Raw genomic sequence first — 25,222 nt, 5'->3', positions numbered from 1 at the left:
AATACTTGGACAAGCTGGGCATGGTGGTGCACACCTAAGCCCAAGCTACTCAGGATACTGAGGCAGAAGGCTTGCTCGAGCCCAGGAGTTCGAGGCTGCAGAGAGCTATGATTGTGCCACTGTATTCCAGCTTGGGAGACACAGTGAGACCCCATCTCTAAAAACAAACAAAAAATACTTGGGCAGATTCCTCATAAAAGAGGAAACTCAAATGGCCAGTAAGGGTGAAAAGATGTTCCATCTCATTACTAATCAGAAGAATGCAATTTAAAACCATGTTGTGATGCTACTTCAAGGTGCCAGATTGGCAAAAATGTAAAAGCTGATAGCGTCAAGTATTGGCGAGAATATAGAACAGTGAGACCATTATTCCGTTGCTGATGGGAGTATAAATTGTTACCACCCTGTTGGAAAATAGGCATTGCCCAGTAAAATTGATCATGCCCAAATATTGCCTACTGACTACTCTACCCCCTATAGGGTTCAAACCTCAAAGACTTAGAACTTGGGTATAAAGGACTTAGGCTTCAACCCTGTCAGTAATGTTTCAATTTAAGCAGGTTTTTGTTTGCTGATCTGGAAACTAAGCCACCATTTATGCAATCGTTTCTCTGAGAAAATGAGTTCTAAATTATAGGCACTACAAGTTAATTTTTGGAATACAGCAAATACAAAAATTAGGTATTAATAATTACTTTTTCAGCTGGGTGTGGTGGCCCATGCCTGTGATCCTAGCACTTTGGGAGGCCAATGTGGGAGAATCACTTGAAGCCGGGAGTTAAAGACCAACGTGGGTAACATAGTGAGACCCTGTTTCTACAAAATCAAAACATTAGCCACGTGTGGCAGCGTGCACCTATAGTCCTAGCAACTCAGAGGGGCTGAGGCAGGATGATTATTTGAGCTCAGTAGGTCAAGGCTGCAGTGAGCTGTGATCGCATCACTGCACTTCAGTCTGGGTGACAGTGAGACCCTGTCTCAAAAAAAGAAAAAGGTTAAAAAAAAATTTACCCTTTCACTAAACATCTCTTTTACAATGGTTACAAAAGAATACAAATATTAACATATTTGAGAAGCAACTTCTTGGCAAGATACCTAGACCCTATATTTTGTCTCTACATTTTCTTTTTTCAAAATGACTTATGAAGTGCAGAAACTATCAAATAATGTAGTACTTTTTTTTTTTTTTTTTTTTTTTTTTTGAGACAGAGTCTTGCCCTGTTGCCCTGGCTGGAGTGCAATGGTGCGATCTCGGCTCACTGCAACTTCTGCCTCCCGGGTTCAAGCAATTCTCTGCCTCAGCCTCCTGAGTAGCTGGGATTACAGGCACCCACCACCATGCCCAGCTAATTTTTGTATTTTTAGTAGAGATGGGGTAACACCATCTTGGCCAAGCTGGTCTTGAACTCCTGACCTCATAATCTACCCACCTCGGCCTCCCAAAGTGCCGAGATTACAGGCATGAGCCACCACGCCCGGCCTGGAGCACCATTTTTTTTTTTTTTAAAGCAGAATACATACTTTATTCTTTAAAATTTCTTCTCTCTTTTTTTTTAAACTTTTTTTAGTATTTATTGATCATTCTTGGGTGTTTCTCGAGAGGGGGAATTTGGCAGGGTCATAGGACGATAGTGGAGAGAAGGTCAGCAGATAAACATGTGAACAAAGGTCTCTGGTTTTCCTAGGCAGAGGACCCTGCGGCCTTCCACAGTGTTTGTGTCCCTGGGTACTTGACATTAGGGAGTGGTGATGACTCTTAACGAGCATGCTGCCTTCAAGCATCTGTTTAACAAAGCACATCTTGCACCACCCTTAATCCATTTAACCCTGAGTTGACACAGCACATGTTTCAGAGAGCATGGGGTTGGGGGTAAGGTTATAGATTAACAGCATCCCAAGGCAGAATTTTTCTTAGTACAGAAATGGAGTCTCCTATGTCTACTTCTTTCTACACAGACACAATAACAATCTGATCTCTCTTTTCCCCACATTTCACCCTTTTCTATTGGACAAAACCCCCATGGTCATCATGGCCCATTCTCAATGAGCTGTTGGGTACACCTCCCAGACGGGGTGGCGGCCGGGCAGAGGGGCTCCTCACTTCCCAGACGTGGCGGCCGGGCAGAGGGGCCCCCCCACCCCCCAGACGGGGCGGCTGCCGGGCGGGGGCGCCCCCCCACCTCCCAGACGGGGCGGCTGCCGGGCGGACGGGCTCCTCACTTCTCAGATGGGGCGGCCGGGCGGAGGCGCTCCTCAGTTCCCAGACGGGGTCGCGGCTGGGCAGAGGTGTGGAGCACCATTTTTATGCTTGTATTTTTTCTGTTTTAAAAAAAACAGTGAAGGAAGTGAAAAATCACTGTCCTAGTTGAATTAAGTTAACTGTTGCAAGTTGTGGCTCTGGAAATGTGTCACATTTGATTTTTATGCCTTTAAGTTTTACTTCTGAGTTTTTAAATTTTTGAATTTTATTTTGATAAGATCAGTTATCACAAAATATTTTTGCACTTAAGCAGTACTCTTTTTGAGTATTATGAATTTCTGGCCACCACTGTCACAAATGTGTACAGCCTATGCCACTGAGATGCTTACAGTTATTGCTGACATTGAATAAAGATGAAGAATCTTCATGAAGACTATACCACTGCACCCAATTGGAAACAGAGTCACCACCACCTTTTCAACCAGCAAACTAAAACCCAACTGCAGATGAAAGTCCTTATCTATGGAAGCCACTCTAGAAAGTTAGGAAGAGGTAGGCTGGACGCGGTGGCTCAAGCCTGTAATCCCAGCACTTTGGGAGGCCAAGATGGGTGGATTACTTGAGGTCAGGAGTTCAAGACCAGCCTGGCCAATATGACGAAATCCCATCTCTACAAAAATACCAAAAAAATTAGCCAGGTGTGGTGACATACACGTGTTAATTCCAGCTTCTCATGAAGCTGAGGCAAGAGAATCGCTTGAACTTGGGAGACAGAGGTTGCAGTGAGCCAAGATCATGCCACTGTACTCCAGCACAGGTGACAGATGGAGACTTCATCTCAAAAAAAAGGAAGAGATGATTGTTCCACCAGGTGCACAGACATCAACACAGGGACACCAGAAATATGAAAGAGCATGGAAATAGGTTGCCACCAAAGGAACGTCACTTTCTAGTGGCAGACCTGCATGAAAAGGAAATCAACTAATTGCCAGAAAAGGAATTCAAAATTATGATTTTTTAAGAAATTGAATGATATACAAGGAAATACAGATAGTTCAGTCAATCAGAAAAGGATTTATGATGTGAATGACAAATTCAACAGAGATAGAAATCATAAAAAAAAGAACCAACCAGAAATCCTGCAACTGAAGAATTCAGTGAATTAAATTAAAAAATACAACAGAGAGATTCAACAAAAGAAAGAATCCAGCAAAAGAATCCCTGAACTTGAAGATAGGTCATTCGAAATTACCTAGTCAGAGGAAAAAAAAAAGAGAGAGAAATATGAATGAAAAAGAGTAAAGAAAGCTTACAAGACTTATGGGACACCATTAAGTGAACAAGTATTTGTATTGTGAGAGTTCTAGGGAAGGGAAAAGGCATAGAAAACCTATTTAATGAAATAATAGCTAAAAAATTCCCAAGCGTGTGGAGAAATTTGGAAATCCAGTTTCAGGAAGCTCAGTGGTCCCCAAATAGATTTCACACAAAAAGATCCCATCCAAGGTACTTAATAGTCAGATTATTCAAAGTCATATACAAAGAGAGAATTCTAAACACAACAAGAGAAAAGTGTCAAGTCATGTATAAGGGAGTCTTCATTAACCTAACAGCAGATTTCTCTGCAGAAATCTTACAGGCCAGGAAAGAATGGGTTGATATATTCAAGTTGCTAAAAGGAAAAAAAAAGTGAACCAAGAATACTATACCCAGAAAAGCTATCCTTCAGAAATAAGGGAGGAATAAAGTCTTTCCCAGATAAGCAAAAACTGAGGGAATTCATCACCACTAGAACAGCCTTACATGAAATGCTCAAGGGAGTCCTACATCTGTAAGTGAAAGGACAATAATCACTATTATGAAAAAACACAAAAGTGTAACATTCACTGTTAGAAAAGATGGACAAAGGAGAAAGAGAAGAGAATCAAACCTTATCACTTCAAAAAAACCACCAAACATCAATGATAAACAATAAAGGCAGAACAAAGGAAATAAGGATATACAAAGCAACCAGAAAACAATTAACAAAATGTCAGCAGTAAGTCCTTACCTATCAGTAATAACCTTGAGTATAAACAGATTAAATCCCCCACTTAAAAGATATGGACTGGCTGAATGGATAAAAAGATATGGCCTAACTATATGCTGCCTACAAGAAATTGTCTTCACTTGTAAAGACATACACAGACTGAAAGTAAAGTTATGGAAAAAGATATTCCTGAGGCAGGAGAATGGCGTGAACCCCAGGGGGCGGAGCCTGCAGTGAGCCAAGATTGCGCCACTGCACTCCAGCCTGGGCGACAGCGAGACTCCGTCTCAAAAAAAAAAAAAAAAAAAAAAAAAAAAGATATTCCACACATATGGAAACCAAAAGTGAGCAGAAATAGCTATGCCTAAGTCAGATAAAACAAACTTTAAGTCAAAAACTGTAAAAAGAGACAAAAAAGGTCATTATATAGTGATAAAGGAATTAATTTAGCAAAAGGATATAATAATTGTAAATATATATGCACCCAACACTGGAGCACCCACATATGCACATATTATTAGATCTAAAGTGAGAGTTAGACTCCAATACAATAATAGTTGCAGATTTCAACACCCAATATCTAACGTCTCAACATTGGACATATCATCTAGACAGAAAATCAACAAGGAAACATTTGATTTAAACTGCACTTGAGACCAAATGGACCTAACAGACGTTGACAGAACATTTAATCCAAAAGCTACAAAATGTACATCCTTTCTTTTCAATAGCACATAGAACATTCTCCAGGATAGACCACATGTTAGACTACAACACAAGTCTTAACAAATTTAAAAGAATTAATATTATATCAGGTATCTTTTCTGACTGTAATGGAATCAAACTAGAAATCAACAATTAGAGGAACTTTGGAAAGCTATACAAATACACAAAAATTAATATACTCCTGAATGACCACTGGATCAATGAGGAAATTTTAAAATTTCTTGGAGCAAATGAAAATAGAAACGCAACATCCCATACCATGCTATGGGATAGAGCAAACACAGTATCAAAAGGAAACTTTATAGCAATAAACACTTGTATTAAAAAACTAGCAAAATTTCAAATAAACAACCTAATGATCCAGCTTAAGGAACTAGAAAAGCCAGAAAAAACAAAACTCAAAATTAGCAGAAGGAAAGACATAATAAAGATTAGGGCAAAAATTTTAAAATTGAGACTAAAAAGCAATACAAGAAATCAGCTAAATAAAAAGTTGGCTTTGAAAAGATAAACAAAATTGAGAAACCATCAGCTAGACTAACCAAGAAAAAAAGAGAAAAAACCTAAAGAAATAAAATCAGAAATGAAAAAGAGGACATTACAACTGATGCCACAGAAATACAAAGGATCATTAGAGGCTATTACAAACAACTGTATGCCAAGAAATCTGAAAACCTAGTGAAAATGGATAAATTCTGCTTGTATGGAAACATGCAAGCTACCAAGACTGAATCAGGAAGAAATGGAAAACCTGGACAGCCCAGTAACAGGTAATGAGATTGAATCAGCAATAAAAAGCCTCCCAATAAAGAAAAGCCCACTGGTTGCATTCATAGCCAAATTCTACCAAACATATGAAGAAGAACTAATACTAATCCTCCTGAAACTATTCCAAAAAATCAAAGAGAAGGGAATTCTCCCTAACTCATTCTGTAAGGCTAGCATCACCCTGATACCAAAACCAGACAAGGACACAACACAAAAAAGAAAACTACAGGCCCATATCCCTGAATAACATAGGCTCATAAATCCCCAACAGAATACTTGCAAACCAAATCCAACAACACATTAAAAAGAAAATACACCATGATCAAGTGGGATTTATACTAGGGATGCAAGGGTGGTTCAACACATGCAAATCAATAAACGTGATACATCAATCAACAGAATGAAGGACAGTAACCACATGATCATCTCAGTGGATGCAGAAAAAGCATTTGATAAAATTCAACATTCCTTCGTGATAAAAACACTCAAAAAATAGACAGAAGAAACGTACCTCAGAATAATAAAGGCCAATATGACAAACCAACAGCCAGCATCATACAGAGTGGGGAAAAGGTGAATGCCTTTCCCCTAAGAACTGGAAAAAGACAAGGATGCCCACTTTCACCACTCCTATTCAACATAATACCAGAAGTGCTAGCCAGAGCAATTAGGCAAGAGAAAGAAATAAAGGGCATCCAAATTGGAAAGGAGGAAATCAAATTGTCTGTTTGCAGATGACATGATCTTTTATATAGAAAACCCTAAAAGCTCCACCAAAAAGCTCTTAGAACTGATAAATGAATTCAGTAAAGTTGGAGGACACAAAATCAACATAAAAAATCAGTGCTGTTTTTACACAGCAACAGTGAAATAGTGGAAAAAGAAATTTAAAAAACCAATCCTATTTAAAATAGCTCCAAAAAAAAAAAAAAACACTTAGGAATAAATTTATCCAAGAATATGAAAGATTTCTACAAGGAAAACTATAAAACACTGATGAAAGGAAATTGATTAGGACATTTAAAAAATTAAAAGATATTCTATGTTTATGGGTTGAAAGAATTCATATTGTGGTCTGGGTTCTTGGGAGGCCGAGGTGGGTGGATCACCAGGTAAAGAGATCAAGACCATCTTGGCCAATATGGTGAAACCTGTCTCTACTAAAAATACAAAAATTAGCTGGGCGTGGTAGCATGCACCTATAGTCCCAGCTATTCAGGAGGCTGAGGCAGGCAAATCACTTGAACCTGGGAGGTGGAGGTTGCAGTGAGCTGAGATCGCATCACTGCACTCCAGCCTGGCGACAGAGTGAGACTCCATCTCAAAAAAAGAGGAGGAGGAGAAGGAGAAGGAGAAGGTGAGGAAGGAGAAGGAGAAGAAGAATTAATATTGTGAAAATAACCATACTACCAAAAGTGATCTACAGATTTAATGCTATCCCTATCAAAATATCTATGGCATTCTTCACAGAAATAGAAAATACAGGGCCGGGCACAGTGGCTTATACCTGTAATGCCAGCACTTTGGGAGGCTGAGACTGGCAGATCACTTAAGGTCAGGAGTTCAAGACCAGCCTGGCCAACATGGCAAAACCCCATTTCTACTAAAATTACAAAAATTACCCAGGCATGGTGGTGCACACCTGTAATCCCAGCTACTCAGGAGGCTGAGGCAGGAGAATTGCTTGAACCTGGGAGGTGGAGGTTGCAGTGAGTTGAGATTGCACCACTGCACTCCAGCCCGGGTGACAGGGCAAGACTCCATCTCAGAAAAAAAAAAAAATGCAATCAAATTCATATGGAACCACAGGGGACCTCAAATACTCAAATTCTGAGCAAAAAGAACAAAGCTGGAGGCAACACACTGCTGGACTTCAAAATATACTACAAAACTTTAGTAACCAAAACAACATGGTACTGGCATAAAAACAGACACATAGACTAATGGAATGGAATAAAGAATTTAGAAATGAATCCACATACTTACAGCCACTTGATTCTCAGAGGTGCCAAAAACATTCATTGAGAATGGGACAGTCTCTTCAATAAGTGGTGCTGGGGAAACTGGATATCCATATGCAGAAAAATGAAACTAGACCTTTATCTCTCACCATATACAAAAATCGTTTCCAAATTGACTAAAGAACTAAATGCAAGACTGAAAACTATGAAACTACTGGCAGAAAACATAGAAGAAATGTTTCAGGGCAGTGCTCTGGGCAGAGATTTTGTGAAGACCTCATCAGCACAGACAATAAAAGCAAAAATAGACAAATGGGATCGGATCCAGTTAAAAAACGTTTGCACAGCAAAGGCAGCAATCAACAGAGTGAAAAGACAATATGCAGAATGGGAGAAGATATTTGCAAACTATTCATCTGAAAGAGACTAATATCCAGATATCTTCAAACACCTCAACAACCAGTAAACAAATAATTTTAAAAATGGGCAAAGGAGCTGAATTAACATTTCTCAAACAAAAACATACAAATGAAAAGTACTCAACATCACTAATCATCAGAGAAGTACAAATCAAAACTACAATGAGATGTCATCTCACCCCCATTAGAATGTCTGTTATCAAAAAGGCAAAGAATACATGCTGGCAAAGATGCAGAGAAAAGGGGACTCTTATACACTGTTCTAGTGGAAATGTAAATTAGCACAGCCATTATGAAAAACAGTATGGAAGTTCCTCAGAAAACTAAAAATAGAACTATCATATGATCCAACAATCCCTCTACTGGGTGTATATCTATAGGAAAGGAAGTTAGTATGCCAAAGAGATATTTGCATGCCCATGTTTATTGCAGCACTTCACAATAGCCAAGATACAGAATCAACCTCTGTGTCCATCACCAGAAGAGTGGCTAAAGAAAATGTGTGCAATGGAACACTAGTTAGCCATAAAAAAGAATGAAATTCTATCATTCATGGCACAATGGATGAACTTGAAGAACATTATCTTAAGTGAAGTCAGACAGATGCAGAAATACTGCATGTTCCTACTTATGTGGGAACTAAAAATGTTGATCTCATAGAAGTAGAAAGTAGAATAGTGGTTATTAAAGGTAGAAAAGGTGGGAGGGGAAGATAGCCAAAGGTTGGTTAACAGATATGAAAGTATACATATAGGCTTTGTATTGACATACCACACTGTACCCCATAAATATGTACAATTGTTATTTGTCAGTTAAAAATAATAGCAAAAAAGGCTACTCAGCAATGGGCGGATGGTCAAGGTATACTGAACTGTACCATTAAAGAGTGAAAATAGCCATAGACAATACGTAAATTAATGACTGTGTTCCAATAAAACTTTTCTTTTTTTTTTTTTTGAGACGGAGTCTCACTCTGTTGCCCAGGCTGGAGTGCAGTGATGCGATCTCAGCTCACTGCAACCTCCACCTGCCAGGTTCAAGCAATTCGCCTGCCTCAGCCTCCCGAGTAGCTGGGACTACAGGTGCGTGCCACCACGCCTAGCTAATTTTTGTATTTTTAGTAGAGACGGGTTTCACCATATTGTCCAGGATGGTCTTGAACTCCTGACCTCAGGTGGTCCATCCTCCTTGGCCTCCCAAAGTGCTGGGATTACAGATGTGAGCCACTGCACCCAGCCAAAAATTTTTTTGGGGACTGTCTCACTCTGTCACCCAGGCTGGAGTGCAGTGGCACAATCTTGCCTCACTGCAACAACCTCCGCCTCCCAGATTCAAGCAAGTCTCATGCCTCAGCCTCCCGAGTAGCTGGAATTACAGCCGTGTGCCACCATGCCATTAATTTTTGTATTTTTAGTAGAGACGATGTTTTGCCATGTTAGCCAGGCTGGTCTCGAACTCCTGGCTTCAAGTGATCTGCCTTCCTTGGCCTGTCAAAGTGCTGGGATTACAGGCATGAGCCACTGCACCTAGCCTGTGTTCCAATAAAAGTTTATTTAAAATGTGTCTCAGGCAGGATTTGGCTCTGTTGTTCAGATTAATCATCATGACTGGGCCAGGCACAGTGACTCACACCTGTAATCCCAGCACTTTGGGAGAACAAGGCTGAAGGATTGCTTGAGCCCAGGAGTTTGAGACCAGCCTGGACAATATAATGTGAACCTGTCTCTACAAAAAATAAATTTCAAAAAGTTATCCAGGCATGGTGGCACATGCCTGTAGTTCCACACTCAAGAGATTGAGGTGGGAGGATATCTTGAGCCAGGGAGGTTGAGGCTGCAGTGAGCTGTGATCGCACCACTGCACTCCAGCCTGGGCAACACAGTGAGACCCTGTATCAAAAAACAAAAAACAAAACAAAGTCATCATGACTGGAGTGTTGTACTCATGAGAAAAGTTTTCAGAGGCTATGAGATTGTATCATTGAGAGGTGGTTATTGTTTCAAGACAATTCTCTAAAGATCTCTTGTGCTTTTGCAAGCAGAGGCACTGCCTTGTTCTGGACTATTTATTCAAGGATATTTGCATAGCAAACTGCCTTGGAAAATAGAGCTAATATCTTCCTCTGGAGTAAAGAACAGATTTGCCACTGTCCAATATAATAAAAATAAAGTCTCCCTCCTGGGCAAAGATCAGGTAAGCTCACTGTCCATTATAAAAGATTTGGATTCTCTGAGTTTGGGGTTCTTCTTCTGTAACAACCCACCTCATATGCAGGCATCACTGGCCCTCGTTGCATGACCGTTGGGAATTGAGGTTTGGGGACATGGTGTAAATGCTGATACTCTACTCTAGCTACTGCTTTTGTTTGGAGGAATAAACTGTCCTCTGTCTCTGAAAAAAAAAAAAAAAAAAAAAAAAAAACAACGACAAGAATTTCTGTCTGAATATGGATTTCCTCTAAACATATTTTAGACTATTTGCCCTCAAAAATACAAGGAATGTTTAGCATAATAGCCCAATGTTTTCAACAATAAAGCTATCCTTTTTTTCCTCCAGAAGCCTCGCTTATTGCATAATGATCTTTTCCATAACTGTGGAAAGACAGAGGAACACTAAATTCAGATAATCTTTTGCCAGAAAGTCCAATTATTAAGTTTCTTTTAACAAGAGGAGAAACTATTATTTTCTTACCTCTACAAAATCATGACCCAGACATGAAATTAAGAATTTTTAATAACGTTTTATTTTATTTTTCCATATAAAACCTTTTTGTAGTTGGAAAAACTTTTTCTAGCTACCTTTTAAAGTTCGATTTTAATATATTGAGCGAGTTTATAATCAGCAGTTTGGTATTACTGATTTCAGACTTTTAATTACTAGTTTCAGTCTCTTCCCAAAGTAAATTGTTTTTTAGTTATTTAAAAATAGCTTAAAATGTTATTTTTAAGTTCATTTTTAAAAGTGGAGGAAGAAGAAAATTGATACATTTCATTATCTCTTAATTGTGTTTCTTATTGTCTTCATGTCAGAGTGTCAACATGTGTAATGTCTGAGGAAGAAGGAAAGGGGAAAAGCAAAAGTTCCCAAATGACCACAAATGAATTAATTTTCTCTAATTAGAACTATGGGCTGGGCGCAGTGGCTCACACCTGTAATCCCAGCACTTGGGGAAGCCCAGGCGGGTGGATCACTTGAGGTCAGGAGTTCGAGACCAGCCTGGCCAACATGACGAAACTCTGTTTCTGCTAAAAATACAAAAATTAGCCGGGCGTGATAGTGCATGCCTGTAGTCCCAGCTACTTGGGAGGCTGAGGCAGGAGAATCGCTTGAACCCAGGAGGCGGAGGTTGCAGTAAGCCGAGATTGTGCCACTGCACCACTCCAACCTGGGTGACAGAGCAAGACTCCATCTCAAAAAAAAGAAAAAGGAAAGAACTATGTATAATTTTTAATTATTCTGTAACTGCTTGAGTTAAAATTGATAATGTGATACCTAAAAATATACATACACACGTACTTTATATCTTGTAAATCTTAGGAAGAAAATAGACTTTCTTGATAACAAAAAACATGCCAAGACATTTAACAATTTAGAAATAAATCATTAACTAGTTGGTAGAAAAGCAAGTCAGGTCCAGCTGGCTTTGATCCCACCTAATGTAGGATTTTGCAGATCCTTTCTCTTCTCGATTAAAATTTTTTCCCCCAAAACTGTTTCTACCATGTGTTTATAATGTGCTCTCTTTTTCTAGCCATATTTTTGCTACAAACTAGTAATTATCCTTTAATGTTTTGCTTTTTTTTAGTTTTATTAACAGAATTCTAAAATTTTAAATTACTTACAAATTTTAAATTTTAAAAGTAAGTAACTTAGTCTTCCCTGTCTTTGCCAACTGGGAATTCTAACCTACTTTCCTTAGAATTCTCAGAAAATATTTAAGATCTAGGATCACTGTCATCATGTCCATAGTTGCTTTCATTTTTGAGTACTGAGTATGTGCCAGACACTGTGCTAAATGCATTGTGTATGCAATTTTTAATATACTACAAAGGTTGGTATAATTGTCTTCACTTAACAAATGAGAATACAGAGGCCAAGATAGAATGAATACTTTGTGCCAGCTAGTCACTAGTAGAGCTGGAATATGAACCAAACTCTGTTTCCTCGGGCTGGTTTTTTCCATAAACTCTGATACTCCTTTCCTGTATTATACCCATCCCACCTAATCAATGTGACTGTAAAATAATGGAAATTCTGAAGCTTCTCCACCCACTCATCTTAAACAGAGTCTTTAAAAAGGTAATTTGGCTTGTATTCATGTGACATAGATATGTACCATATCTTGAGATGATACACCAGTGAATTTTCTTTTGAAAAAGTAATGACTATTAGTGTTGTAAAATATGTTTTTATTTATATACACTTAAAAAATGCTTTTTTCTAAAGTGTTAAAACCTTGCAGGAGTTGTTCACACCCATGAGTATGTAAGTTCTATAACTGAGCATTACTACCACAAGAAAATCTGAGAATCCCTTTTGGGATAATTTAAGAAATGTGTAGTATATGCATAGTTACACTTAATGCAGCGTAGCTCCACAATGCTTATGCTTCGTTTATGAATAATTCTATATTCTTTTTTTTCTGATATAATTTTTGTGCTATCTTGGTACTTTACTAGCAACATGTCATTAAGACCAGATAAGCAAATTTTATCTTAAATTGTTAGCTGATCTCATAGTACAGATGTCTGATTTCTATTTAAAATCCAGTTCTACACATTTATTCTCCAGTTATGAAGCTGTGGGTTTTGGTTCTTTCATTTCAAATCTATGGATAAGCATAAGTGGTCTGTTCACAGCCTTTTTTTTTTCTTTTTTGGTTTCATTGCATTTATATCATTGACCTTTGCTTCAGAAAGCATTCAAGTCTTTAACAGAGAGAGACCATGAAAGGGAGTGTTGTAAAGTCTTTATTCTACGAAGGAAGTCACACAGGCAAAGCTTTATATTTGCTGAGTGATTTCTTTTCTTTCTTTTTTTTTTTTTTTTTTTTTTTGTGAGACAGAGTCTTGCTGTCACCCAGGCTGGAGTGCAGTGGCGCAATCTTGGCTCACCACAACCTCCACCTCACAGGTTCAAGCGATTCTCCTGCCTCAGCCTCCCGAGTAGCTGGGACTACAGGTGTGTGCCACCATGCCCTGCTAATTTTTGTATTTTTAGTAGAGACGAGGTTTCACTATGTTGGCCAGGCTGGTCTCGAACTCCTGCCCTCGTGATCCACTCGCCTCAGCCTCCGAAAGTGCTAGGATTACAGGCATGAGCCACTGCACCTGGCCGATTTAAATCTTTTTTTTAAGAGACAGAGTCTCCCTGTGTCGCCCAGGCTGGAGTACAGTGGCTATTCACAGGCCCGATCATGGCACACTCAGCTCAAGAGGATGGCTTCAATTCCCTGTGATGTCATTTCCTGCCTAACCAGTCAGCACTTCTGGCTCCCTGGTTTCACCCCACCCACCAAGTTGTCCTTAAAAACCCTAATCCCTGAATACTTAGGGAAACTGATTTGAGTAATAATAAAGCTCTGGTCTCCTGCACAGCTGGCTCTGCATGAATTACTCTTTCTGTATTGCAATTCCCCCATCTTGATAAATCAGCTCTGCCTAGGCAGTGGGCAAGGTGAACCCATTGGGTGGTTGCAGGATTAGTCTCCTGTGTTTCTTGGTCTGTGGGGCTTTATGAGAGACAGGTTTAATTTGAGATAAGTGGACCCAGCTGTTTATTCCTGTTTAACTGCAGTTGGAGTAGTTCAGGCAGCCTAGAACTCCTGGGCTCAAGTGATCTTCCTGCCTCAGCCTCCTGAGTAGCTGGGACTATAGGCATGTGCCACCATGCCTGATAAATTTAATTCTTATACATGCAGAAATTGGCCTTGGGCCATGAATAACATGATGCAAAAGCACTAGTAGTGCAGCCTCACAACCAAAATTCCTCACTTCATTTTTTTTTTTTTTTTTTTTGAGACGGAGTCTCACTCTGTCACCCAAGCTGGAATGCAGTGATATGATCTTGGCTCACTGCACCCTCCGTCTTCTGGGTTCAAGCAGTTCTCCTGCTTCAGCCTCCCAGGTAGCTGGAACTACAGGCACACACCACCACTCTGACTAATTTTTGTATTTTTGGTAGAGACGGGGTTTCACCATGTTGGCCAGGCTGATCACTGGTCTTGAACTTGTGACCTCAAGTGACCCACCCACCTCAGCCTCCCAAAGTGCTGGGATAAAGGTGTGAGCCACCACGCCCGGCCTATATTTTCTTTTAAAAGAGAGAAAAGCACCTTTTTTTTTCTTGTTGTTTTAAAATCTGGCCATGCATGGTGTCTCATACCTGTAATGCTAGCACTTTCGGAGGCCAAGGCAGACGGATTGCTTGAGCTCAGGAGTTTGAGACCAGCCTGGGCAACAGGGGAAAACCCTGTCTCCACAAAAAATACAAAAATTAGCCGGATGTGGTGGCGCATACCTGTAGTCCCAGCTACTTGAGGGGCTGAGGCAGAAGGACCACCTGAACCCAGGAAGTTGAGGCTGCAGTGAGCCGAAATCACGCCACTGCAGCCTAGGGGACTAAATGAGACCCTTTCTCAAAAAACAAAAACGAACAAAAATCACCCAGGAAAAAATAAAGCATGGTATGTACACTCAGACAACTACTTTATCAAGATTCATTAAGTCACTTTAAATCAGCAATTAAGGAGCAGATCCTCCAGATAGAAAGTCTTTTAGTGCCCCAAGAATTATTAAGGGAAAACCCACTTCAGGAATAGCAACTACTTTGGGAACATTGGCTATATTATGGTTACACAATATTATTAAGTGATTTTGTGTTCGAAACTAATACCTTCTTCTTGTAGGTTGTGGGTTAGGCAAACACCATCATTGAAAGTAACTGTTTATCCTTTTGTATATTGAATAACATATTTAGAGGAATGAGGAGTAAGCATATTTTGATTAACATTTTAAAAGCCTTGGAAATAAGCTGATGAAGTGTTGTAAGCCATTCTTTGAAAGGTACATTATGTTCTTTATAATTTTCTGATAGTATAGAGTGGCTTCGATTGACTGGTTCCTTCTTATTGAGTCATAAAATATTCCTGAATTTTATTTTTTATGAATACAGGTTTTCTTTGCTAGATCTTTAAGTACCTTGGGATATTCTTGTGTAAGACCGTATATGTGTGTGGCTTCTTTTCTTTTTTCTTTACTAAATTACTTAAGATTCATAGATTCATGCTTGATAGTATAAATTAGATAATGTAAATTTTTGTTGCATTTTTAAAAACATCTCCTATACTATGATCAGTACAAATTTTATTTAAGCTTTAAACATCAAAATATTTGGGCTTCTATCTCTGAGAACCTTTGACTTTGTTAGGCTGCAGCTTCTCTTCAAGCAATAAGATTTCTCAGCCTTTGTTAAAGACCTGAAATTTACTTGCAGTGAGAAAAGAGAGCAAGATTTATTGTGGACAGGGCATAAACACCATCACTGGAGTCAGGACCTATATAGATGGTGAATTGTAATGCTTTGGATCTACAGAATGAAGCTTGATACCTAAGTGGATATCAAGTTATTTGGCAGACAAATTTCTTGTACCAATTTAGAGTCAATCTTAGGAGTAGATAGTATGGTGGGGAAAAGTCTGGCTTTGTATGAATAGACTTGACTTACTAGCTGAGGACAGTAACTTTATCTGAATTTTCTCAGTAGTAAAATAAGTATTATGACCCTCACCAGGTAGAACTACCTTGAGGATTAGAGAAAAAATATATTTATTGACATAAGCCCTCAATAAATGATAGCTCATTGCATCATCATTATTACTCCTGCTTTCAAATGCCTCCATTTTAAATTTTCTGTAAAATTATTTGTTAGCTAAGAAATTGCATTATGCAATACACTAGACAGCTTTTAATAGCAATACAGAATTTGATAGGTGATTTATTTGGACACAAGGCTTTGAGATATGGTAAGTATATATGATTTACATGAGCTGGGCTTTCTTTCCCTTCTGGGGTGTTACTCAATACAACTTTTAAATTGATTTACTTTTATTCATTGTCTTTGCTTTTATTTGCAGTTCTGGGAAATGCCAGTGCAAAGTGGGTGTCATTGGCTCTATATGTGACCGATGCCAAGATGGATATTATGGCTTTAGTAAGAATGGCTGCTTGCCCTGCCAATGCAATAATCGGTCTGCCAGTTGCGATGCCCTCACAGGTACGTACTTTCCTTAACTTTGTCATGTAATTATTCCACTGTTCTTTTAATTTGGAAATCTTTCAGCTATAGGTTGATTCTTCTGAAATAGTTTGGAAGGGCCTTTATCTTCTAAGTAGGATGTACTAGATCACAGCAAGCCAAACTCCTGCTACAACAAACTTGAAAAAGTACGTAAATTAAAAAAAAAAAAAAAAAGTCATATACCTATGGAGGCAAGGAGAACTATAGGAACTAAAATTCCAGAAAGGTTGGAACTCTTCCTAGGTAAACTGATGATCACCAGCCATTGTCTTTCCAGGGGACATTTGCTGATTCTGAGCATAGGCAAAGAATGAGCTAGACCCAAGCAAAGGAATTCTTTAGGAAAGAGATACAAGAAATGTTTTTGGCAGTCATTTGAGGCTTGCATGATGGTTGGAAACAAGAGGATCCCCAAACACAAGGCCAGCTTTCCCACAGGATATTAGCCGACTATGCAAAAGATGGAAGGCTGGGCCAGAAAGGTAGAAAAAAATCTCTTTCTCTTTCAGTCTTGTGCTGAGGAGACAAAATCCCTTTAGAAAGAGAGGGCCTGCTATGACATTCAATTATCTCCCCCTCAAGATGTCTTCAGACTCTGAGGGTGCATGCAGTGGGACCTAAGCTCAAATTACCAAAGGCCAATACAAATCTCTCACAGTCTTTTAGGGCTAAGGAGACACAGGCTTGCTAGGCTCTGACCAAGAAATAGTAAGGAACCAGAAGTTGATTAACTCATACTAAAATTACAGTCCACCCTCAAGCCGCCTCACCTTCTGATTGGATTGAAGTAATTCTCTCATTATATCTGCCTAACAGATGAAAGGGGAGCCCTCTCTGGTTCTTTTATATACTGTGTCCGGCATACAATAAAAAATACTGGACAATGCAAAGACAGAAAAATGTGACCAATACCAAAGAGAAAAAAAATGAGCAATGGAAGCAGACCTTTAGGTGATCTAGGTGTTAGAGTCAACTTAGAAAGACTTGACTAAAGTTAGTATTTTCATACAATAAAGGGAAAATCAGACAAAATAGGTGAAGAGAGGCAAAATGTCAATAGAAATTGGAATCTCTAAAATATCAAATGAACAAACTGGAACTGAAAAATACAACATGTGAATTAATAACTCATTGCATTAATCTAACAGTAGATTGTACACAGTGAAGACAAAGTTAGAAGACTTGAATACAGTACAATTAAAAATATCCAAACTGAAGCATTTCGAGAAAATATAATGGAAAGAACAGAGCAGGGAAGATGTGGGACACAGCCAAAAGGTTTAGCATAAATGTAATTGGAGATCTAAAAAGAGAGGAAAGTGATACTGGATCCCAGTAATATCTGAAGAGAAAATGGCCATGAATTTTCCAAATGGATTAAAGGTGTCAACCGACAGATTCAGAAAGTTCAGCAAACCCTAAGCAATATAAAACAAAGAAAACCACATTTAGGCAAACTTAGTCAAACCATTAAAAACTAAAGCCAATTAACTTCTGATCTTAGTTTTCCTAAATGTAAGAATTAAGTATCCTTCCTTGGAAACATTTTTTTTCCCAAACAAACAAGCAAAAAAAATCAGGACACACTAGTCTGACAAGTACAAGTGTTTTTATGAGAACAGGGTGGCAAAATACTTGAAGTCAAAAGTACCCTGGAAAAATCGGTTGAAAGTTTTATTCTTCATTCAAATACTCTATAGTAAAACAAATTGATTTAGAAGAAATTGTTTTTTTTTTCTTTTATGCGATCTTGTCTCTGCCTATTTGCCAGTTTTATCTTGTGGCGTTCTTTTTCTTTACATCTGTGATCCAGTCAGACTGGCTTTTATTTCTAAAACAAGGCATGTTCCCTGGTCCCAGGGTTCTCATATATGATCTTTCCTCTGCCAAGAATGGTTTTTCTAATCCACCTCTACCTCCATCCTTGACCCCTCTGCCTTATTAAATCACATTCTTCCCTCGAGTCGTCAATTAAAGGCCACTTCATTAGAAAGCATTTCCTGATGCTCTAGGCTTAATGGTAATTTCCTTATTATATGCTCTCACATATACTTGTATTTTTTCATAGCACTTTTCACAGTTTGTAATTGTATATTTATTTGTGATTCTGAGTCACATATGGCTCACTCATGAGGGCAAGAACTTTTTTTTTTCACCATTGTATACACAATCTCTAGCATGGAGCTTTAGCATATAGTAACTACTCACTAAATTTTTATCAAATAAATGAACAAATGAATGGAAAGGCGTACAGAGGAAAGATTATTTTCAATACTGAGTAACAACAGGAATACTTCATTATACTGAGTCGATTAAAATTACTCCCTAGATCTTTTACAGTACCGAAAAGCAGTCTACATTGCTGATTCTCAGTTTTAATTTTTCTTAAGGCAACGAGGCCACTGTCTTTACTGTCATGTAAGTGCTGACCTGTCCTTTCTCTGGAGATAATTTAAGGCAAAATAATTCTTTTCATGGTTATGGTTTCTAAAAGCAGCTAGTAGTGAGAGAAATAAATGGGTTCTTTGTTTGGAATTATAATAAAAGTGGAATCCAACGTGAAGGAGTGCAAATACTGTATTTAAAATTACAAGCTTTATATAAAACCACTCTCGTCAAGTGACTTTATTTTCAACAGTGCTGTGATAAGGTTGCCCTCTGGTGGCCACTTACTGTGTTTTCACAGTCCTATTTTCACCCCCTCTACTGTTTTGCTATACCTTGTGTTTTAGATTGAAGTAGATTTTCAAAGTACTCTTTTTTTGTGGTAAGATATATTTGGATAAACATTTTGGAAAGCAATTTGACAGTAAGTATTAGAAATCTTAAAAATTGTTCTTTGATCTGGTAGTTCTATTTCCAGGAATCTATTCTAAGGAAAGAATTCTAAATTCTTAAGAAGGTTATATTCAGAGATGCTCACCAAAATGGTAGTTACAATTTTAAAAAGTTAGGCAACCCAATTTCTCACAATAGGGTATTAAGTAAATACTGTTATCTAGGCAGTATATTATTAAAAACACAGAAAACCAAATGTTGACCTTACCTTGAGCAAGTTGCTTAATCTGTTTCTTCATCTATAAATTTGATATAATAGCAGTAACTGCCTAGTGGGTTGTCGTGAAGATTAAATGCAATACACTTGTACAGCCTTTATATAGTGCCTGGTCCATCACAAGTAATCAGTAAATGGTAACTGTTACTATGTTCTCGATAAAATGTTTTGTTTTGTTTTGTTTTTTCTGAAACAGAGTTTCACCCTTGTTGCCCAGGCTGGAGTATGGTGGCGCGATCTCGGCTCACTGCAACCTCCACCTCCTGGGTTCAAGCGATTCTCCTGCCTCAGCCTCCCAAGTAGCTGGGATTACAGGCGCCCACCACCACGCCCGGCTAATTTTTTGTATTTTTAGTAGAGACGGGGTTTTGCCATGTTGGGCAGGCTGGTCTCGAACTCCTGACCTCAGGTGATCCGCCTGCCTCGGCCTCCTAAAGTGGTGGGATTACAGATGTGAGCCACTGTGCCTGGCTGATAAAATGTTTTAAAGAATGATATATAGCAATATGAGAAAGTGAAAGAAGCAAGGTATAAAATAACTTATGCCATATAATTAGACTAGTTAAAAAACAAAAGCCAAACCCCTGTAAATGAGGAAAGATTACAAAGAGAAGTACTAAAAATCTTTTTTTTTTTTTTGAGACCGAGTCTTGCTCTGTCACCAGGCTGGAGTACATGGCACGATCTCGGCTCACTGCAACCTCTGGCTCCCGGGTTCAAGCGATTCTTCTGCTTCAGCCTCCCAAGTAGCTGGGATTACAGGCGCCCACCATCACACGCCCAGCTAATTTTTGTATTTTTAGTAGACACGGGGTTTCACCATGGTGGCCAGGCTGATCTTGAACTCCTGACATTAGGTGATCCACCCATCTCGGCCTCCCAAAGTCCTGGGATTACAGACTTGAGCCACGGAGCCCAGCCTAAAAATCTTAATGAGAGATTTCCTAGGATGATTTTTTACCCCTTTCTACTCCTGTATTTTTCTAGATTTTCTTTATTAAGCACGTTTCCCTTAAAATGGAAGTGGGGGGATATTATTTTTAAAACTGGAACTTCATGTTCATATAATATACTTCCTTTGAAAATCCAGTGTACCTTTATGTATTCATAGTGTCCCATGATGAGTAACTTGACCTGAGCAGCTTGACTGAGTTGACCAATCCTCTACTCCCCAATGATACTTACTTCAGAGTATCATGCTTTCCTAGTTTTTGTGCTACCTAACCAGCTTTTCCTTCTTATTTGTTCTACTACATCTTCCTCAGTTCAGCTCCAAGCACTGGAGTGCCTCAGGGCTCAGAGCTTGTCAAGTTTGTCTTTGCCATTTAAACTTTCTCCCTAAGTGGTCTCATTCAGTCCCCTGGATTTAATTTGTATTTGTTTGTTTGTTTTAGCTCATTTTCCCCCTTAACCCTGGATTTAATTTAAATGCCATCTATATATGTGCTTATTATCAGATTTGCATTTCTCCGTTGATCTCCACACTCAAATATCCAACTGTCAAATATCCACTTGTTTTAATTGGCATTATATACCTAACACATCCAAAACAACTTTTTTTTCAACTTATAAGTTAAGCCTGCTCTATTCATTTCACCAAGTTACTCAGTCCCAAAGCCTAGTAGTCATTTTTGATTTTGCTCCTTTTTATTACTGCAAATATCCAGCTCATCAGTATATTCCATCAGCCCTATCTTCAAAACATACCCTGAATCTGACCACTGTTCATGACTTTTATTGCATCATCCTTGCCCAAGCCACTGTCATCTCTTTGAACTACTTTGGCACAGTCTCATCTGGCCTTTCAGCCTCCTCTCTTCTCTCCCTATTCTCTGATCCCCACCCCACCACAGTTAGTCTCCACATAACAACCAGAGCAATCTTTTTAAAATGTAAAACCAGATCATGTCATTTTCATGCTTAAGCCCTCCAATGGCTTCTCATCCCTTTTGGAATAAATAAAATTCAAACATCTCTCTATGGCCTATCTGGTTTTACATTTTCTGGGCCCTGCCTTTCTCTCTGACCTTATGCCCTGTTACTCTCTCCCTTGTTAACCTGGGCTCCATACTGGCCTTCTTTCAGTTTGACAGGTTAAAGCTTGCCTTTTGTTCTATAAAGAGGGTAAGGCATTTCTTCCTACAACAAAGCACATTACTGTATTTCAGATAGGTTTATATATAAATGATGAAATGGTAAAATAAATAAAGGAATAAGGAAAGGTCTTTTTGCAGGTAACAATGTATGTTTTCAATGTTTTGTCCCTGAATTTGGCTGGAAAGGAGCCCTACATTCCTTTCTTTGACTATTTATTTTCTTGGTTATCTCTACAAAGATTTTTGAGATGCTTAGTCAAGGAGCATGAAAAAATCATCTTCAGGAAACATTCCTTTTTCTTTTGATCCACCCTTTGGCCATCTTTCAGCAATGAGAATGTGAGAATGTGAGTTTTAGGGCAGTATTGTTATATTTTGGGGGGTTCCAGGCAGAGCATAATGAACAATGTTAAACTTCAGCTTATTTTTATGTATCATTTATCATAAAAGAAAGATTCTTAGATTTTAGATTTAAAGGAAACCTTAGATTTCATCTAGTTCAGCTTTTAAAATTTACAGATGAAGAAATTAAGACATAAAGAGAAAACATTATGTCCTATGGAATAGTCTTTCACCCTTTGAAATGCTCACATTATATTAAATCGTTAGCCAAAGAATTATTATCCCATTTTACAGATTAGAAAAGTGAAAATCAGAGAAGCTGTTTGCTTAAGGTAACTTAGTTTGTGAGAATTTCAGCTGGAAATGGAACACAAATTTGACATTAATTCCCATACCACTTTTTTTTTTTTTTTTTTTTTTTGAGACAGAGTCTTGCTCTGTCACCCAGGCTGGAGTGCAGTGGCTGATCTGGGCTCACTGCAAGCTCCGCCTCCCGGATTCACGCCATTCTCCTGCCTCAGCCTCCCGAGTAGCTGGGACTACAGGCACCCACCACCATTCCCGGCTAATTTTTTATATTTTTAGTAGAGACGGGGTTTCACCGTGTTAGCCGGGATGGTCTTGATCTCCTGACCTCGTGATCCGACCGCCTCGGCCTCCCAGAGTGCTGGGATTACAGGTGTGAGCCACCGCACCCAGCCCCATACCATTTTTTAATGCTATGTTGCCTCTCACAGAGGAGTTGTAAGCTATTAAAGAAGCAAATTCACATCATTAGTTTCTACCGTATATAGGTTTTAAACGTTATGGTCTTTATTTTTATTGTAAAAATAAATAATTATTAAATATATATATGAAGTGTTTCAAATTGCTTGAGTTCTTGAAATATTTTACAATGTGTATGTGATATATTTTACAGTGTGTTATTTTACAATAAGAAAAATCAAGGTAATAAAAAATAAAAGTGATGCATGTATACTAGAGATAATTTCTAGACTAGAGGGAGAAAAACTCTGAAAGGGCTATTGCCTCTCACGACTGTTGTTAACACTTTGGTTATTTATGTCTGGCCTATCTTTAATTTATTTGTTTTCTTTCTCTATAGTTGTACTTTAGGTACATGCACCTTAAAGCAATGTAAACAGTGATTAATATTTAAGAATCAATGAATTTTATTCTTTTTTTAATTTATTTATTTTTCTTCTGAGACAGGGTCTCGCTCTATTTCCCGGGCTGGAGTGCAGTGGCATGATCATAGCTCACTACAGCCTCAACCTTCCAGACTCAAGCGATCCTCCCACCTCAGCCTCCTGAGTAGCTGGGACTCAGGCATGCACCACCGCACCCAGCTAATTTTTGTATTTTTTGTAGAGACAGTATTTTGCCCTGTTGCCCAGGCTGGTCTCAAACTCTGGGGCTCAAGCAATCCACCTGCATTGACCTCCCAAAGTGCTGGGATTACAGGTTTGAGCCACTGTGTTGGGCTAAATTTTATACTTATACTTGCTTTCATTTTTACTTTTGAGATAACATTGTTTACCACGTAAGGTTATTTTTTTTTTACTCATTGATTTCTCATTGCAGGGTATGGCCAAAAAACAAACACAAATAAAAAATTCTTCTGGAAAAAATATTCTGGTATAAATGGCTTAAGAGAGTAGAATTATATTGTGGTAGTCACAAACATGTGGAGTCTTATTTAGAATAGTAAAAAGCCCCAAAATAGTAAACATATAAGCCCAGTAGCCCTGTAGGAGTAAAGGATTACAAGTGTGTGTGTGTGCATGTGTGTGTGTGTGTACACACACATGCACACACACACGCTTACATATATGTATTTATTTATTATTATTATTTTTGAAAAGGAGTTTCACTCTTGTTGCCCAGGCTGGATTGCAATTGTGTGATCTCGGCTCACCACAACCTCTGCTTTCCGGATTCAAGTGATTCTCCTGTCTCATCCTTCTGAGTAGCTGGGATTACAGGCATGCACTACCACACCTGACTAATTTTGTATTTTTAATAGAGATAGGGTTTCACCATGTTGGTCAGGCTGGTCTCGAACTCCTGACCTCAGGTGATCCACCTGCCTTGGCCTCCCAAAGTGCTGGGATTACAGGCGTGAGCCACCATGCCTGGCATATACATATATACATATATATATGTATGTATGTATATATGTATATAAAGGGTAGCAACATGACCTTTTCTTGTCACATCAGCTATGCACAAAGGACTTATTATTGGACTGCATCTTACCCTGAACATCCAAATTTTACTATGGAACTGTTAGCTTTTTTTTTTTCAGGTATTTTTTATATTAAAGCTTAGCACTTTATCAGAACTTTTTCTCTTAAAAATTCTTTGTATTGAACATTTTTAATAGGGGGAGAGTAGGTAGACAGATTTCACACATAATGCAGGTTTTGACGTGTCCAACCTGAGGAACAGTTTAACTTTTAAAATTGTTTTATTTTTAGAGCAAAACTCCAGTTTCCTAGTATGTATTTTTCAGCTGTTTTTTATTGTCACAAAGATACATAGCTAAAGAGAGATCATGATACAAGAAGATCTGAAAGAAGCCAGTACCTAAAGTGTCTACCACAGCATGAATATATACTACTTTGTTATGTGGGAAAAATGTCATTAACACTATCAGGCCTTTACAATTACATGATTGAAAATGATGATATTTACATACAAGTTTGATTTAATGTTAAGTGTTCACATAAACTTTTGAAGGTATCTTTCACAATAAATTTATGAAGTTTGGGGGAATTTTGCTGTAGTCAGTTAAGAATTGAGATTTACACTTAGGGAGGCCTACATGGGCGCATCACTTGAGGTCAGAAGTTCGAGACCGGCCTGGCCAACGTAGTGAAACCCTATCTCTACTAAAATACAAAAATTAGCCAGGCGTGGTGACATGCGCCTGTAATCCCAGGTACTTGGGAAGCTGAGGCAGGAGGATCACTTGAACCTGAAGATGGAGGTTGCAGTGAGTGGTGAGCAGAGATCATGCCACTGCACTCTAGCCTGAGCCACAGAGTGATCTCCGTCTCAAAAGAAAAAAAAAAAAAATTGAGCTTTTTAACATGTAGGTTGATGACATTTTCATTCTTTTGTTTTTTTCAAGTTTTGCTTCAGTTGTGAGACCATTTTATTTCACAGCCTTATTCTCTCTCCCCTTTTAAAAATATTTCTGCTAGTAAGGAAAAGAAATCAAGACTTTTACGAATAGTTTTAGCATTGGACTGTAGTTAGCTTACTTTGTAAAATGTCATTATCTTCCTAGATTTCTATGTAGAATTTACTCACTAATTTCCAT

At 38.5% G+C, this 25,222-nt stretch overlaps 1 protein-coding gene across 1 annotated transcript in view; it reads left to right on the top strand.

The window, feature by feature from the left end:
- Positions 1-25,222, top strand: part of MEGF9 (multiple EGF like domains 9) — a 113,660-nt gene that overhangs the window by 75,478 nt on the left and 12,960 nt on the right. The window contains exon 3 of the mRNA NM_001080497.3: positions 16,238-16,377. Coding sequence (NP_001073966.2) covers positions 16,238-16,377 — 140 coding nt within the window. The remainder of the gene's footprint in view (positions 1-16,237; positions 16,378-25,222) is intronic.

The sequence above is a fragment of the Homo sapiens genome, chromosome 9 (genome assembly GCF_000001405.40).
Source record: "Homo sapiens chromosome 9, GRCh38.p14 Primary Assembly".
Lineage (NCBI taxonomy): Eukaryota > Metazoa > Chordata > Mammalia > Primates > Hominidae > Homo > Homo sapiens.
This window is presented reverse-complemented; position numbering and strand designations above follow the sequence as displayed.